This window comes from Homo sapiens, chromosome 14 (genome assembly GCF_000001405.40).
Source record: "Homo sapiens chromosome 14, GRCh38.p14 Primary Assembly".
NCBI lineage: Eukaryota > Metazoa > Chordata > Mammalia > Primates > Hominidae > Homo > Homo sapiens.
Window position 1 is genome coordinate 50,944,982 of NC_000014.9, and position 18,665 is coordinate 50,963,646.

Genomic DNA, 18,665 nt, shown 5'->3' on the forward strand with positions numbered 1-18,665 from the left:
CTTGGATCCTCAGGGCGCCTCTGTTATTTTCATTCATTTTTTTTGAGGACTCCAGGGTTCAGGTTTCTTAACTCCTGGACCAAAGTTCGCCCCGCTCGTAGCACCCTGTCTCTCATCCTTAGAGGTAGGTTACTAAGAATCAGAGTAGGTGAGGTGAAGCTCTAGGGTCATTATGCGGCAGGGGCTTTTACCTTAGGCTTCTTCGAATTACGTTTTAACTGCAGTGGAGGGTGTGGGGGGAGGAGAGGGAGAAAACAGAAGGGTATGTGTGTGGAAAATGAAGGGATTACTCACTGGACTAGTTGCCTTCTTTACAAAAAACAACCCAGTCTGTGTTACTGTGCGGTACAGGCTGATCTTTGCACCTCCACTTTGGGTGGTATTTGAATATGCGTGTTTATGTGTGCTTAAACCTTGGTAAAGGCAAACACTTGGCATTTTAGGATGTCAGAGGTTTTTTCTTCCTCATTAAGTAGTATTAATATATTATTTTAGAAACAGTCCATTGCCAGAATTAAGTTTTCTTTTTCCTTTTTCTTTTCTTTTTCTTTCTTCTTCTTCTTTTTTTTTTTTTTTTGAGACGGAGTCTCACTCTGTTGCCCAGGCTGGAGTGCAGTGGCGCGATCTCGGCTCACTGCAAGCTCCGCCTCCCGGGTTCACGCCATTCTCCTGCTTCAGCCTCCTGAATAGCTGGGACTACAGGCGCCCGCCACCTCGCATTTTTTATTTTTTATTTTTTTATTTTTAGTAGAGACAGGGTTTCACCATGTTAGCCAGGATGGTCTCTATCTCCTGACCTCGTGATCTGCCCGCCTCGGCCTCCCAAAGGGCTGGGATTACAGGCGTGAGCCACCGCGCCCGGCCAATAGTCACATATATTCTTCTAAGTTTATTTGTTTGTTGTTTTTTGAGACAGGGTCTCACTCTGTTACCCAGGCAGAGTGCAGTGGCGCGATCTGGGCTCACTGCAAGCTCCGCCTCCCGGGTTCACGCCATTCTCCCGCCTCAGCCTCCCGAGTAGCTGGGACTACAGGCGCCCGCCACCACGCCCGGCTAATTTTTTGTATTTTTAGTACAGATGGGGTTTCACCGTGTTAGCCAGGATGGTCTCGATCTCCTGACCTTGTGATCCGCCCTCCTCGGTCTCCCAAAGTGCTGGGATTACAGGCGTGAGCCACCGCGCCCGGCCAAGTTTTCTAGAAAAATCTTAGTATACTTATATTAATATATTTTGTTTTTTATAATAAACCCAAGTTGATTATTTTGAATTCACACATGGTGGTGGTGGGGGGGGGGGGGGGGGCGGGTAATGGATTAATTGATTCAGACCAAATGTGACCCTCACCATAAAAGTGAAAGTTCAAAGCTCATAGTTCTGACAAAATTTCCTGAATCCTTGTCCTCCCAGATTCTGAAGTTTGGACTTGAGCTTTTGGGGCAGAGACTGAATTGGGCCTTATGCAACTCTTGCAATACCGATGACCTGCAAAGGACAGTATGGAAGAGATGAGCATTAGAGTTTGGATCCGGATGGGGCCAGAAATACCCTGAATTAAGAGTGGGAAGGGGGGGCCCATCAAAATCATTGATCTTAAAAATAAGTAAGGCCTGTGGGGTGAAATTTGAAATAAAGCAGAAAGATAAGCTTCTTTGATTATTATATAACTTAAAAAAGTGTTTATCAGCTTTGAATACCCCCAAGATGGTCACAGCATTAAGCCAGTTATGGGTCATTCGTACATAAGTGTGAAATTAGTCACTCAGCTTTAACAGCTGGATGAAAAATAGGGTAGAGCCTAGGATGAGGGAATACCAGGTCTGAGTAGGTCTTCCTCCCAGAAAGGTCTCTGAGCAGGAGAAGGCATCATAATGTCTGGGCATTGGGGAGTGAATAATTAGGGGGCACACAAGAAGGGATGAAAGACACCAAAAGCAAGCTTACTCGGTTTCTTAGTTTTGCTTAAGACAGTTTCAAATAGATGGCTCCCAGCTCCGCTGTCTACTTTCCTGTACTAAATTCTTGTTGGAAACTCAGGGTAATGATGAACTAATGAACACACTATTTTCTTGATTCACTATCCAGTCGGTGAGCCTGCACCCCCGGCTTGAACAATTCTCTATGCAGAAAAATCATGAACTATAGAATGCTCAATATATAGAGTATGGGGAAAAACTATCCATCTCCATGTTAAAAAGAACGTGATGGAACCAGGTGATTTAGGGTGTTCCATAGACCCAGTCTTAAACGACAATGAATTACATTGCAAGACAGTTATTCCCCTTTCACTTTTCTTTAAGTCTTTCTGGAAAGTCCTTTGTGTTAACATGTTAGCATTTTTTAATCTATATTTTTAACAGAATGCAGGTACAGACTCTAAAAGTTCTTGAAGTTTTAGCATCTAACTAGAATTTAATACAATTATCTTCCATTTATGGTAAATGATACTTTTTCAGTTGACATTCTGATATAAACTTTGTTTCATCTGCTTGTTCTGTGCTAGTCTAGGACACTGAGGCCTTGAGAGGTTAAGTTACTTGACTAAGAAAATTAATATCTTTAAAAACCTTTCCTTTAGCCTCTCTTGACCAGAAAGAACCAGAAACTATGGATCCCTGAAAAAGTATCAGATTTCAGTGGCTCACATGTTTATAGCAGCCTTACTCACAATGGCCTATATTATTCCTGCTTCTCATCCACTGCTTCCCCGTGGCTGCTGTAACGAAATGGCGTTTGTAAGTAGCTGAACAAACAGTCCAGAACTCATAGGACAAGTGTAAGTTTCCCACTGTTGGAAATACAAAAAAACATGAGAAAGTAGTGTGTTAGTTCGGGTCTTCAGAGAAGCAGAAGCTAAAACAGGATTAAACATGTTAAGATTTTTTACTGGGGTAAATGCTTGTGGGAGGGAAAAACGGGGAGTGCTAGCCAGAGAGAGCATCAGACTGTGATGCCAGTGTGACCTAGAGTGAAGGGGAGAGAGAGGGAAGGGTAGAAGGGCATATCTCAGACAGCCCTGTAGTCCCAGGAAGATCCAGCAGTGCTGCTGGGCAGTTCTGGAGGGCATCTGCTGTCAGGAGTCCACGGTACTCTGCTCGGTCATTGGTGGGATCATCCTCCCGGAGGCATGGCCTCTGCAGGGCTATCTGGAGCCCTGGGTCGGTTATGCTTCCTGCAGCTTGGGGCATCTATGAGGTCCTTTCTAGTGACCACCACAGAAAGATATGAGATAAACAAATACAGATTAATACCCACTATGTTTCAAAGCAGGGCCTATTGTGGTGGCATACCACTTTCAGATTATCAAAACGGCAACTAGCATTTTCCAAGGACTCTGGCAAGGCCCATAATGTGCATTACTCATTTAATCTTCTCATCAGCTCTGTGGGACAAGTTCTGTTTTTCTTTCCATTTCACAGATGAGGAAATCGAGGCTTAGAGAAGGTGAGTAGCTTGCTCAAGATCACCTCACCAGTAAGTGATGGAAGAGGTTTTCAAATCCCTTAATGTTGTTTCTCCTCCCCTGAAACAGGATTTGTGATCTGTTAAGTAAACCTGAATTCTGACTGCATCTCAGCTAACCTATTACCCTACTCACTTGTTTTGTTTTGTTTGTTTTTTTTTGAGGCGGAATCTCGCTCTTGTCACCCAGGCTGGAGTGCAATGGCGCCATCTTGGCTCAGTGCAACTTTTGCCTCCCAGGTTCAAGTGATTCTCCTGCCCCACCCTCTTGAATAGCTGGGATTACAGACGTGCGCCACCATGCCTGGCTAGATTTTGTATTTTTAGTAGAGAGGGGGGTTTCACCATGCTGGTCAGGCTGGTCTCAGACTCCTGACCTCAGGTAATTCACCCGTCTCGGCCTCCCAAAGTACTGGGATTATAGGCGTGAGCCACCGCGCCCGGCCTGTTTTGTACTGTTTATTGGTTTTTGACCATCTTCTAATCAGTTCTGCAATCTAGGGAAATGCCAGAGGTCCACAGTGGCCCCACAGACAGGTCACTAACACTCTGGAAAGGGGTGGTGTAAACCATGGGCTGAGCTTTATGCTCAATGAGGGAATTTGAGTACACTGCACTCAGCATATTTAATGTATGAATCTGTTAACCAAGGTTGTTATCCAGGCTCCGCTGTTTCAAATATTTAGAAAGATGACTGAGGGCCAGGTGCGGTGGCTCACACCTGTAATCCCAGCACTTTGGGAGGCCGAGGTGGGTGGATCACGAGGTCAGGAGATCGAGACCATCCTGGCTAACATGGTGAAACCCCGTCTCTACTAAAAAATACAAAAACAATTAGCCAAGCGTGATGGCGGGTGCCTGTAGTCCTAGCTACTTGGGAGGCTGAGGCAGGAGAATGGCGTGAACCCAGGAGGCGGAGCTTGCAGTGAGCTGAGATCGCCACACTGCACTCCCAGCCTGGGTGACAGAGCGAGTCAATTCTGAGCCAAAAGAACAAAGCTGGAGGCATCACACTACCTGACTTCAAACTATACTACAAGGCTACAGTAACCAAAACAGCATGGTACTGGTACCAAAACAGAGATATAGATCAATGGAACAGAACAGAGCCCTCAGAAATAACGCCGCATATCTACAACTATCTGATCTTTGACAAACCTGAGAAAAACAAGCAATGGGGAAAGGATTCCCTATTTAATAAATGGTGCTGGGAAAACTGGCTAGCCATATGTAGAAAGCTGAAACTGGATCTCTTCCTTACACCTTGTACAAAAATCAATTCAAGATGGATTAAAGACTTAAACGTTAGACCTAAAACCATAAAAACCCTAGAAGAAAACCTAGGCATTACCATTCAGGACACAGGCATGGGCAAGGACTTCATGTCTAAAACACCAAAAGCAATGGCAACAAAAGCCAAAATTGACAAATGGGATCTAATTAAACTAAAGAGCTTCTGCACAGCAAAAGAAACTACCATCAGAGTGAACAGGCAGCCTACAAAATGGGAGAACATTTTCGCAACCTACTCATCTGACAAAGGGCTAATATCCAGAATCTACAATGAACTCAAACAAATTTACAAGAAAAAAACAAACAACCCCATCAAAAAGTGGGCAAAGGACATGAACAGACACTTCTCAAAAGAAGACATGAATAAATGCTCACCATCACTGGCCATCAGAGAAATGCAAATCAAAACCACAATGAGATACCATTTCACACCAGTTAGAATGGCAATCATTACAAAGTCAGGAAACAACAGGTGCTGGAGAGGATGTGGAGAAATAGGAACATTTTTACACTGTTGGTGGGACTGTAAACTAGTTCAACCATTGTGGAAGTCAGTGTGGCGATTCCTCAGGGATCTAGAACTACAAATACCATTTGACCCAGCCATCCCATTACTGGGTATATACCCAAAGGACTATAAATCATGCTGCTATAAAGACACATGTACATGTATGTTTATTGCGGCATTATTCACAATAGCAAAGTCTTGGAACCAACCCAAATGTCCAACAATGATAGACTGGATTAAGAAAATGTGGCACATATACACCATGGAATACTATGCAGCCATAAAAAATGATGAGTTCATATCCTTTGTAGGGACATGGATGAAATTGGAAATCATCATTCTCAGTAAACTATCGCAAGAACAAAAAACCAAACACCGCATATTCTCACTCATAGGTGGGAATTGAACAATAAGAACACATAGACACAGGAAGGGGAACATCACACTCTGGGGACTGTTGTGGGGTGGGGGAAGTGGGGAGGGATAGCATTGGGAGATATATCTAATGCTAGATGACAAGTTAGTGGGTGCAGTGCACCAGCATGGCACATGTATACATATGTAACTAACCTGCACATTGTGCACATGTACCCTAAAACTTAAAGTATAATAATAATAAATAAATAAAAAGAAAAAGAAAAAAAGGAAAAGAAAAGGAAAGATGACTGAGAACCCAGATTTATTTTACTTTTGAATTCCCTTAGTGTCTGCAGACAATGCAGCTGACTGCATTGCCATCTCTATAATTGGCTGTGACAGTGACCATTTACTCGTTACCTGAGTATATTTGGCTTGTCTTGAAACAAGCGGATGTTCCTGACACTTTCAGGTCCTGTCATATTTGATTTGCTCATTGATACAGTAGTTTGAATTCTTAGGCATAGTCCAGTGGGAGTTCCTGAAAAGATGGAAATACTTCCAGCCTGTCTTCTTCCTCTCCCTCAAATCACTGACAGCCTTCATATGCCTATTGTGGAATATGCTGAGATTGCAGAATCACTTAGTGCCTTGATTTCAACTTCTGCAAAGTAAGGACAAAGATCTCTGTCCTTCTCAGTCCATAAAATGGCTAAGTTCGGCTGGGTGCGGTGGCTCACGCCTGTTATCCCAGCACTTTGGGAGGCCAAAGCAGGTGAATCACGAGGTCAGGAGTTCGAGACCAGCTTGGCCAACATGGTGAAACCCCATCTCTACTAAAAATACAAAAAATTCGCTGGGCATAGTGGCGGGCGCCTGTAATCCCAGCTACTCGGGAGGCTGAGGCAGGAGAATCGCTTGTACCCTGGAGACGGAGGTTGCAGTGAGCTGAGATCGCACCACTTACTCCAACCCAGGCAACAAAGTGAGACTCTGTCTCAAAAAAAAAAAAAAAAAAAAAGATGGCTAAGCTCAAAAGAGATATGAGTGGAGAAGTGCCAGGAAATGGTAAAAGCATTATTAAGATGGAAACTTCTGGGTTGGGATTATATTTTGACATATTAACCAGTGTTTTGATTTTCTCCTGATGGTTTACTTTTTCCCTATCTCCCTTGGGGAGCTGCTGTAGCACTTGAGGTGCTTATAATCTCTGAGGAAGATGTGAGCCTTCCTGGTTTTGAACTCCAAATTAACATTCAGGAGACACATTAAGAGTGAGGGCAAGGGTCTGAGGAAAGTGGGGCAGTAATGAGAAGATGACATGGAGGTGTGGGGAGTAGAGACATCACTGGTCTTGGAGTCAGGATCCTGGAGCTGGCTTCCTTGATCAGGTAGCAGAAATCCCAGGCAGGCTGAGTATCTGAGAAGTGCCCAGGACTTTGCTCTGCTTCCTGAGAAGAGCCCAGCGAGGAAGTGACTGCCTGGAGGGTCTCAGTAGTCAGGGCTTGGACAAGGTTCACAAAGGCTCCTCATCCCCAGGGAGGCGCAGGGCAGCCATTGACCAAATCCCCAGCGCTGAAGACTGATTCAGAGAATACCCAAGGGAGAGGTATCAAGGCTAGAGCCTTCTCTCCACTGGCTACTGCCACCAGGGCCTTAGCACAGGGAACCCCTGCTGAGGGGTCCTCAGTTGAATAGACTGGTTGACTGAATTTGAGATCAAATTTCTTCCCTGGAGGAATGAGAGCTTACATTAGAAGTTAAACTGAAACTGTTACAGGCCAGGGCAAGGTGGTTCACAGCTGTAATCCCAGCAATTTGGGAGGCTGAGGCCAGTGGATTGCTTGAGGCCAGGAGTTTGAGACGACCCTTGGCAACAGGGCAAAACCCCATCTCTACTAAAAATACAAAAATTATCTGGGTATGGTGGTGCACGCCTGTAGTTCTAGCTATTTGGGAAGCTGAGGCATGAGAATCACTTGAATCTGGGAGGCAGAGGTTGTAGTGAGCCGAGATGGTGCCACTGCACTCACTCTAGCCTGGCAACAGAATAAGACTCTACCTCAAAAAAACAAAACAAGAAAAAGCAGTTAAACTAATACAAAAAATATAAAGCTGCATGTCAGGCCTCTGAGCCTAAGCTAAGCCATCATATCCCCAGTGACCCGCACGTATACATCCAGATGGCTTGAAGCAACTGAAGATCCATAAAAAAAGTGAAAATAGCCTTAACTGATGACATTTCACCATTGTGATTTATTTCTGCCACAACCTAACTGATCAATGTACTTTGTAATCTCCCTCACCCTTAGGAAGGTTCTTTATAATCTCCCCCACCCATAAGAAGGTTCTTTGTAATTCTCCCCACCCTTGAGAATGTACTTTGTGAGATCCACTCCTGCCCCCAAAACATTGCTCCTAACTCCACCGCCTATCCCCAAACCTGTAAGAACTAATGATAATCCCACCACCCTTTGCTGACTCCTTTTTCAGACTCAGCCCACCTGTACCCAGGTGAAATAAACAGCCTTGTTGCTCACACAAAGCCTGTTTGTGGTCTCTTCACACAGACACATGAAACACTGCATTCCTTGCACATCTGAGTTTATACGCTGTTTGTATTTGCATTGCCCACTGGAGTTATTACTAATGCAATAAGACATGTTCCAGAAAAAGCTTTCACCTTTGTTTTTTGTTTGTTTTGAGACAGAGTTTTGCTCTTGTTGCCCAGTCTGGAGTGCAATGGTACGATCTTGGCTCGCTGCAACTTCTGCTTCCCAGGTTCAAGCGATTCTCCTGCCTCAGCCTCCCAAGTAGCTGGGATTACAGGTGCATACCACCACACCCAGCTAATTTTTGTATTTGTAGTAGAGATGGGGTTTCGCCATGTTGGCCAGGCTGGTCTTGAACTCCTGACCTCAGATTATCCACCCACCTGAGCCTCCTAAAGTGCTGGGATTACAGGCGTGAGCCACCATGCCTAGCCAAGCTTTCACCTTTGTATGGGAGCAAATGAGGAGAGTAATTCTGGACAATTTTGCAAAGAGATATGAACAAATCCTGACCAAGGAAAGGAAGTGAAAAGTGTGCTAAGCACAGGGTTTCAGCAGATAATCATGATGCAATGTGCACAAGGGACAGCCTCTTTGCTGCCTTGTCTCAGGGTCTTTGTAATGCAAACCCTCCATTGAGCCCACATTTTGACTTGCCCTTTGTACATGATTGATTAATTGCAGGCTTTAACTATATAAAACATATAGGCTTCTATAAAAAATATTATTGAATTTTAGAGTTTTGTTCCCTTATGGGGGTAAACCTAAGGAATCACAAACCCCAAATTCTCAAATGCCAAATACTTTAACTTCTCTAAGCTGTTTATCCATCGTTAAAGTTCTAACTAGTAAGGTGCTTAGATAGTGAAGGATAACACGTGTTAGCTTAAAACATATAGAAATGCCGGAAGAAAATAACTTCCCTTTCACTTAATATTTCCTAGGATGGAGGCTGGGAGTCTGAGGATATACTGTAGGCTGATCTCATATACAAATGAGGGCTTTTCTTTTTGCATTTCTTGTATTAAATAGATTATAGTTCATTGAGCATAGCTTTGCATAGCATAACCTACCTCTGTTTTTCAAATTCAATGTTTCTAATTTATTGATTTATTAGGAAAATATTTGTTAAGTACCTACTATGAGTCCAGCATTGTGCTGGACACTTAACAGTGAACCAAACTGACTGTAGAATAACAAAACACCTTGTCTCCCCAGGATCCTATCTTCTGAGAACCACCTCTTCTCTTTATTTTCCTGCTTCTGGTCTTACCTTTAAGTACAAGTCCCTATACTTACTGCAGGAATGGCTGTTTTACACCCTGACCCAGTTTTTACAACCATGACTATAGGACTCCTGTAGGGTCATGAAAGAAGAACTGGGCATTAGCCAACTTGGGATATCAACAATGCGATCATTGAATGGGTACTCACTGTGTACAAGGTACTGTGCTCGCTGCCAATGGTAAAACAATTCAGTTCATGGCATCTGCCTTACCCAGAACCTTTAAACTACTTCAAGGCACCATATTCGCATTAAGGTACAAGGCAGACTATGCTAAAGAAAAAACAAGTAGCCCAGATCTTAGGTGGTATCTGAGGTCACAGGAAGAAAAGAACATCTTGCATTTGTCTAGAAACCAAATGATAACAGCCATTTCTCTATCTTCCTAGAAGTTCCATTTCCTTCTCCACCTCATTGAATGATAGTTTCTCAGTCATTGAGTCATAATACGTTTCCAGCTTAAGATGAAAATGTAAAATTTCTCCCCACTCAGAATTTTCATTTTATGTTTTTTAGGGAGTTGATGTGTGAATTGCAGAGACAGGCTGATACCAGCAGGTGGAAGAATTCACCATTTGAACTCCACATCATAGGCTAGTGAATGGTTCAGCAGGATGTGACTGCAATTTTAATCACTGCTTCATTTCCCTTTCTTTGTTCCAGATATTTATGCACCAAAACCCTGTGAGAAAATGACCCATAATCTGAAGAAGATAAATAAAAATGGATTATTTTTATCACTCTAGACAGAGCATAAAGAGATGGCATTTTCTCCATTTTAAAATCTTAGATGTAAATACACTGAAATCCAAAGAAAAAAATTATTCTGATAAATTGGAGAAATTTAAAAATTATAAAAAAGTATGGGGTTTCAACATTCTTATGATAGATTTAAAGAACACTCAAAGTTTGATGTGCTGGTGGCTTGGGCCTCCCAGTGAACCACATGAGCTTACAGGATTAGGGTCGTGAAGTAGAGGGAGCGGTGCTGGGGTCCAGCACAGGGTTTCAGGCCTGTCTGGGCACACCTGTGAACTGGTAAGACAGGCCTGGGCGAACTCTATGTGCCTAGGGGAGGTGGAGCCATCTGGGAAAGATGTCAGATCACACCCCCTGCTGGGATTTAGATGTATGCGGACATGTCTAGCAAGCTGTGAGGGCTGAGAAGCTTCCTGGGTGAGAACTCACCCTAAGGGCAGGAGTCTGCTGATTCACTTCACCCAGGAAGAAGCCTTAGTTGTCAGAGGGGAGCAGTAAGTCTGACTATGGCATGGTAGCAGTTTCTGGATTCTGTTCCCTGGTCCAGCTACCTAGAAGCCTGTATACCCTGTGGATGTAGAGGGCTGTCAGCAAACCCTGAAAGAATTTTCTCACCAAGCTTTGTAGAAAATACTCAGACTCAGAAACAGCATCATACCATCTAACTGGAAGAAGTGAGTCATTCTCTTGTATCTTAGAGGAGGATCTGGATGAACTGTGATGACCAGTGGGGCAGGGCGTGGCCAGCAGGACTGGGAGCAGCACATGGAGACACCTCCTGGAGACTCCTAGAAATACAGGACATGATAGTTGGAGGTTTGGTGAGACAAATGGGAGTGAGAACTACTGGCATTTGTGTTGGAGTTAATGGAATGCCCTCTGATTCAAAGACTCAGGGGAACTGGAGAGGTATGCATCTCTCTTTCACACATATTCACCACATATGCACATCTCACATCTCATATATGTGTGTATATGTGTGTGTGTGTGTGTATATATATATATATATATATATATATATATATATATATATATGTCAAGTTATCAGAGTTTTCAAACATTTACTAAAAGAACTTTATTTTTTTTTCCCAAGGCAGAAGAATTTTTCTTAGTACAGAACAAAATAGAGTCTCCTCTGTCTACTTCTTTCTACACAGACACAGTAACAATCTGATTTATCTTTCTTTTCCCCACATTTCCCCCTTTTCTATTCGACAAAACCGCCATCGTCATCCTGGCCCGTTCTCAATGAGCTGTTGGGTACACCTCCCAGACGGGGTGGCAGCCGGGCAGAGGCGCCCCCCACCTCCCAGACGGGGCGTCGGCCAGGCGGAGTTGCCCCCCACCTCCCGGACGGGGCGGCTGCCGGGCGGAGACTCTCCTCACTTCCCAGATGGGGTGGCTGCCGGGCGGAGGGGCTCCTCACTTCTCAGACAGGGCGGCCGGGCAGAGACGCTCCTCACCTCCCAGACGGGGTGGCGGTCGGGCAGAGACACTCCTCAGTTCCCAGACGGGGTCGTGGCGGGGCAGAGGCGCTCCCCACATCCCAGACGATGGGTGGCGGGGCAGAGGCGCTCCCCACATCTCAGACGATGGGTGGCCGGGCAGAGACGCTCCTCACTTCCCAGACGGGGTGGCGGCCGGGCAGAGGCTGCAATCTCGGCACTTTGGGAGGCCAAGGCAGGCGGCTGGGAGGTGAAGGTTGTAGCGAGCCGAGATCACGCCACTGCACTCCAGCCTGGGCAACATTGAGCACTGAGTGAGCGAGACTCAGTCTGCAATCCCGGCACCTCGGGAGGCTGAGGCGGGCAGATCACTCGCGGTCAGGAGCTGGAGACCAGCCCGGCCAACACCGCGAAACCCCGTCTCCACCAAAAAATACAAAAACCAGTCAGGCGTGGCGGCGCGCGCCTGCAATCCCAGGCACTCGGCAGGCTGAGGCAGGAGAATCAGGCAGGGAGGTTGCAGTGAGCGGAGATGGCGGCAGTACAGTCCAGCCTCGGCTCGGCATCAGAGGGAGACTGTGGAGAGAGAGGGAGAGGGAGAGGGAGAGGGAGACCGTGGAGAGAGAGGGAGAGGGAGACCGTGGGGAGGGAGAGGGAGAGGGAGAGGGAGAGGGAGAGGAAGAGGCTAAAAGAACTTTAATAAATGATGTCTTTTTATGTGTAAGCTCTTTGTAAACCCTCTTTTTTGGAGAGGGTAATATTTTTCTATCAGTAAAACATACTTATTAAAATGTGTGGAAATCTTAAGTTTGCGTCGCAATGAATTTCTCCAAATGGATGATGACTCATGCTCCGTAGCCAGACTGAGCTACAGAACATTATGAGCAGCTCAGAAGCCCCTCCTGTGCCTGCTTCCTGTCACTGTCTCCTAAGGGTGATTGCTACCCTGATTTCCAATATGGCAGATTACTTTTGCCAGTTTTAAACTTTGTATAAATGGAATTATACAGTATGTCTCTATTTGTCTGACTTCATTTACTCAACATTGTAAGTTTCATTTATGTTCTTGCCAAATTTCTTACATTTTCATCATTATGTAGTATTCCATTATATTAATGTAGCACTTTTTTTTTGAGATGGAGTCTCGCTCTGTTGCCCAGGCTGGAATGCAGTGGCACGATTTTGGCTCACTGCAACCTCCGCCTCCAGGGTTCAAGCGGTTCTCCTGCCTCAGCCTCCTGAGTAGCTGGGACTACAGGTGTGCACGCCCAGCTAATTTTTTGTATTTTTGGTAGAGACGGGGTTTCACCGTGTTAGCCAAGATGGTCTCAATCTCCTTTCCTCGCAGTCTGCCCGCCTCGGCCTCCCAAAGCACAATTTTATATATCCATTTTGCTGCTGATGGACATTTGGGTTGCACCCAGTTTGGAGTTATCATGAACAAAGCTGCCATAAACCTATTTGTACGTGTTTTGTTTTGTTTCAAGACAGTCTCATTCTGTTGCCCAGGCTAGAGTGCAGTGGTGTGATCTCAGCTCATTGCAACCTCCACCTCCTGGGTTCAAGCCATTCTCATGCCTCAGACTCCTGAGTAACTGAGATTATAGGCATGCACCACCACATCCAGCTAATTTTTTGTATTTTTCGTGGCGATGGGGTTTTACCAAATTGCCCAGGCTGGTCTTGAACTCCTGGGCTCAAGCAATCCACCCACCTTGGCCTCCTGAAGTGTTGGGATCACAGGCATGAGCTACCATGCCTGGCCTGTATATGTTTTTTATTGCATGCATGTCCTCATTTCTGTTGGAAATATAACTGCTAGATCTGATATATAAGTTTTAATGCATTTTCTTCTGTATGTGAAAAATGTTGTTTGGGTACAGATGTACTGTTCTTTAGAAGTAAAGTATTTGAAGTAATGAAGAAAGTGAATTTGACTAGAAATCCAGAAAGAAAGAGGGATGACATTATTTAGAGTAGCTGGGTACTGATAATTTTATTTATGTATTTATGTTATTTATTAATGTCGAATCTTGATTAGTTATCATAAGTTATAATAAGTGGTAACAATATAAACCATTTCATTGCTCATGACAGATATAAAAACTTGCAGGATAGTTTTTTACTGCTATCTAGAATCTTTTTAGAATGCCTCATCCTGCAAACTAATTATTAATATTAACCCCAGGACAATAGGCTTGGAAAGTAATTTTTAATTAAAAAATTTTCTTCCTATCTGTGCAGATGGTTAAAAGCTGATTGTGGCACTCATAGTTTGTAGCCATTACCACTAGAAACCAGGAAAAATCAGTGAATCTTCTAATTTTTTATTTAATAAGTTGGCAAGTTTGTTGTAAGCATTGACCACCGTGTTTCATGAGCTTAAGCTATGAAGACTGTATGAAAAGGAGCAACACTAAGTCTGGGTCCTAAGAAACAAACGCTTTGTGATGTGGGCCTCACTCAGAATGTCTGTGGCTAAAAATATCCCTGGGGGGTCAAAGTTATCCAGTGGATCTTGGCTCAACCTTGCGGATTGGGCATCTAATCTGCAGGAGCATCGTTTAGCAGATTTGTTGGAAACTAATATTTGTTTTACTTATTTTCTAATAATAAAAATAGAATGTGTTTATTCTAGAAAATTTGGAAAGCATATACAAATAGAAATAAAAGTTATACGTAATAACATCATCCCTTCTTAATATTTTGGAGTATTTTTTTCAGTTTTTAAAGCACCCCTTTTTTTTTAAACAGCTCATTTGTTCAACACATATGTTTCTGAGAACTTCTTGTGTATAGATGGCAAAACTGAACAGAACCAGAAATCCTGCAGTCCTTTATAGGGTCTCCAAGACCATAACTTATACAACAGAATCCAGAACAACTCTAAGGTCAGTGGTGGTGATGGAGAAGCTGCAGAGGGGGATCTCTGGGTGACTGTAATGAAAAAGAGCTAACATAGCAGCCCTGAGACAGCAGACCTCAGAAAGGCCTACTTGCAAGGTTGACCCACGGCTAGCATCTGGGAACTTGGCTTTCAGGAGTCTTCCTACCATTCCGTAATTGATAAGGATGGTTTACTGTGCCTAGACTGTTTGTACAAACAATATGGTTTATGCTGAATACCACTGTCCTGCTGGAAGTCTGAAATTTTATATGTGCTAGGCAGAGGGTTTCTATGACCAGTCCCCAATAAAAACCGTAGGCTCTGTTAAGTGCATCCTGTGCCATTTTACTGGGAGGACCCTGGAAGCTTATGTCTGGTTTCCTTTGGGCTTTGCCCCATGTGCTGATTTTGCTTTGTAGCTGATTTTGCTTTGTATCTGATTTTGCTTTTGCTGGTTTTGCTTTGTGTCCTCTCGCTGCAAGAAACTGTAACTGTGAATACATTTACTTCTGAGTCCTTTGAATCCTTCTAGCAAATCACTAAACATGAGGGTGGTCTTGGGGGCCCTTGAAATGATGACCCACTAGGAAATTAAGTTACCAGATGAGTCATTACCTCTACTTTCACAAAGGCCCTTAGGATAAAGTTGGGCATATAACTCTTTGAGTAGGAGAAATATTAGAGGAAATGTGTTGTTTGGGCATTGGTTTATTCACAATCAACTCTGCCCATATTGGCTTACTCACCAATCCCCAAATCACTTAGTCTCAATCATACAAGCACTTTTCACTTAAGACTGACACTGGTTTAGGCTGGGCGCAGTGGCTCATGCCTGTAATCCCAGCACTTTGGGAGGCTAAGGCTGGCAGATCATGAGGTCAGGAGTTCGAGACCAGCCTGGCCAACATGGGGAAACCCCGTGTCTACTAAAAATACAAAAATTAGCCGGGCGTGGTGGTGCACACCTGTAGTTCCAACTACTCAGGAGGCTGAGGCGGAAGAATCGCTTGAACCCAGGAGGCGGAGGTTGCAGGTGAGCCGAGATCGCACCACTGTACTCCAGCCTGGGTGACAGAGCCAGATTCCATCTAAAAATAAATAAATTAATAAATAAAATTAAAAAAAGACTGACATTGGTCTATATAAATTAAAGAAGCCTTTTCAAAAACTTGGCAAGGAGGGAGGTAAGGGAAGAGAATAATCTCACAGAGCAGGAAATGCCTTAAAATTGGATATCAGACATCCTTGCACCCAAAGTCCATTAGACAAACACTGTCCAAGGGAATTCATTACTGGCTGTTTCTTTCCTTGGGTCTTACTCTGCTTCCATGTTTCTGCTGACCATTGTTTTGGAGCAGAATGGCTTTTACCATGTCCTCTTGTCTTGAGAACTCCAACTGCAATCTCTGAGCTTGGCAGGAGCAAAAAGGAGTACCTTAAAATGAAACCAACCAGGCCGGGTGCAGTGGCTCACGCCTGTAATCCAAGCACTTTGGGAGGCAGAGGCGAGTGGCTCGCTTGAGCCCAGGAGTTCAAGACCAGCCTGACCAACATGGTGAAACCCCGTCTCTACTAAAAATACAAAAAAATGAGCTGAGTGTGGTGGTGGGCACCTATAATCCCAGTTGCTCAGGAGGTTGAGGTACCAGAATCACTTGAACCTGGGAGGCAGAGGTTGCAATGAGCCAAGATTGCGCCACTGCACTCCAGCCTGGGCGACAGAGCGAGACTCTGTCTCAAAAAAAAAAGAAAAAGAAAGAAGAAAACAACCAGCCTCCATTGCCAGATGCTATCTGCACAAAGATGAATTACTGCACAGAAAAATTTAGTTCCACATTATCTCAGTCATCTCTGCTGAGCTGGGCTGGAGTTTTCCTTTTGCATAATCAGAGGTTCCATTAAAACATTTTAAAAACAAAAGCAGGCAGGGAGAAGAAAATAAGCAGTTTTTTTTCTGAAAACACCCTTCTGGTGTTCTCAATGCAGCAATGGCTGGAACTTAAAAATTCCCATCCTTCTAGCCATTTTACTCTCAACTCCCCTCTTTTGTTCTGCTACACCGAGAAGCATAATTTTTGTCCTCAAGAATGTGAGCAAAATGCCCTGAACATGGCTGACCTTTGAAGATCTTGCATTTCAGCCCTCAGATGCAGCAGGCACGGTGTATCCACTTCCTCCAGCCATGGTGTCACGGAGAGGGACAGTCTTCACTGGATATGAAAAGAGAAGGCAGGGTGCCCTCTTGGCTGCAACAGATATTCTCATAGCTGCCTGGGTATTATTTTGTGCAGGTCTACATTTCTGAGCTGGCTGCTGATACTGGAGTGACCCAAGCTCCCTTTTCTCTCCTTCCCAGGTGACCATGCTTCTCTGTCCCAGAGGGTGCAGCCTGTTTATTTCAACAAATTCCCTTTGCACACAGTTCTGTTTTGCAGTCCAGTCTCCTTTATGCTGACATTGATCTAAATGCTTTTTAGGCACTAGTAGGGACATAAGTGACTTTATTTTAAATGCTAATCTGCTGACTAACCCCAAGTCTGGGAATGCCTCCAAAATGTCTAGGTGATGTATTACTGTTTATGTAGGAACAGTTATTCATTGTAAGTTTCCCTCAAAACAACCCTTGATAATGTTGTAGAAATCATAGGCTGTGATGCTTATAGCCACCTACATATTCCTTCCAGAGTATAGATACTTTTTCCTCAAGATACACATCCTGGGTCTGGGCGATTGCAGTGCAGAGATTTACCTGTCTTGTAGCCAGCTGCCTAAGACCAAGCTTCTGTTTGTAAGTTCCCCCCAATAAATCAATTTATTTTATTTTTATTTTTTGAGACAGAGTCTCACTTCATCACCCAGGCTGGAGAGCAGTGGTGCGATCTCAGCTCACTGCCACCTCCGCCTCCTAGGTTCAAGCAATTCTCCTGCTTCAGCCTTCTGAGTAGCTGGGACTACAGGCACATGCCATCATGCCCGGCTAATTTTTTTATCTTTATAGAGATGGGGTTTCCCCATGTTGGCCATGCTGGTCTCAAACTCCTGACCTCAAGTGATCTGCCCACCTCGGCCTCCCAAAGTGCTGGATTACAGGCATGAGCCACCATACCCAGCCCCCAATAAATCACTTTATATCAACAGACTGAATTTGTCTGCCTCATTCTTTGGTGTCTTGGCTCCTTTGGCATTTGGGGTCCACTTTGCATTTATGACCCTTTCATGTATGCCCTGTCAAGTGGTTGACAGGATTTCTAATGCTATTGAAACTTCTAAATTTTAAGAAGCTCAAATGGGTTTCTTAGTGGGAAGTTGTAAGAAATTGTATTAGAGATTATTACCTTGATCAGCAATGGCCTGAACATTGAAGACTGGGAGATTTAATTGAGGAAACAGAAAAGAGATTGAGCTGAGGATGGCTCTGGAGGCATGGGGTAAGCTGCAGTATCGGAAGCTTTCCACACTTCGGATACTGTATTCCTGGTGAGAATTTTCGGGCACAGAAAGTAAAGTGAGGGGGTGCCAGAGAGGCACCTGGCTTACTTGAGAGCTTTGCCTGAGGTTGGCCTTGTTCACTGTCCTCCAGGACACTTGGTGGGGACTAAGACCCTACTCAGAAGAGTCTCTTTTATACCATCTTGGTGATCCTCTGGGAGGGCCAGGGCCAGCTTGCAGGGAGACCAGTTCTCTATCAAAATTTCTTCAGGTCCTGGACATAAACCATTTCAATCTATTCCAGCAAATGGGGGAGAAAGACTGACTTCCCTCTCCTCCAAAGCCACTCTTTGATCCCAGTTGATAACATCTTCTTTAAGCCATACATGCCAGTGTAGTGAGCAGATGGAGCTGAGAAGCATTGCTCAGTATTTAGTATTAGAGGTGTGTGCATGGGCAGTTGTGGTTGGTTTGTTCACGTGCACATGGAACAGCTTACAGGGAACAATAGGTGCATGGAGTCATATTGAAGAAGACATGGTCTCTGCCTCCAGGTAATGCATATTCACATAAATTACTGCTAAACACAATTTAAAACTTGAAAATCATTCAAATCTATGTTTGAGGACCCACAAAATACACACAAAACTGGAATTTTAATTTGTTACTCCAAATCCCAAGTGGAACAGC

General features: G+C 44.2%; 1 long non-coding RNA gene across 1 annotated transcript, besides 1 other annotated feature; it reads right to left on the minus strand.

Annotated features, from left to right (window-relative positions):
* On the minus strand, window positions 1,309–17,346 carry LOC400212 (uncharacterized). Its single transcript, NR_170195.1, has 4 exons — window positions 16,665–17,346; window positions 10,873–12,235; window positions 2,667–2,786; window positions 1,309–1,483 (listed from the first exon to the last, which is right to left on the minus strand). It is a non-coding gene; the product is annotated as an uncharacterized LOC400212 (long non-coding RNA).
* Window positions 16,930–17,224: a silencer, noted in NCBI's record as "tiled region #6562; HepG2 Repressive non-DNase unmatched - State 23:Low". NCBI's record gives its function as "represses a minimal TATA promoter and a strong SV40 promoter by Sharpr-MPRA in HepG2 cells {active_cell/tissue: HepG2}" and the evidence as "EXISTENCE:reporter gene assay evidence [ECO:0000049][PMID:27701403]".
* Window positions 17,347–18,665: the final 1,319 nt, after the last annotated feature.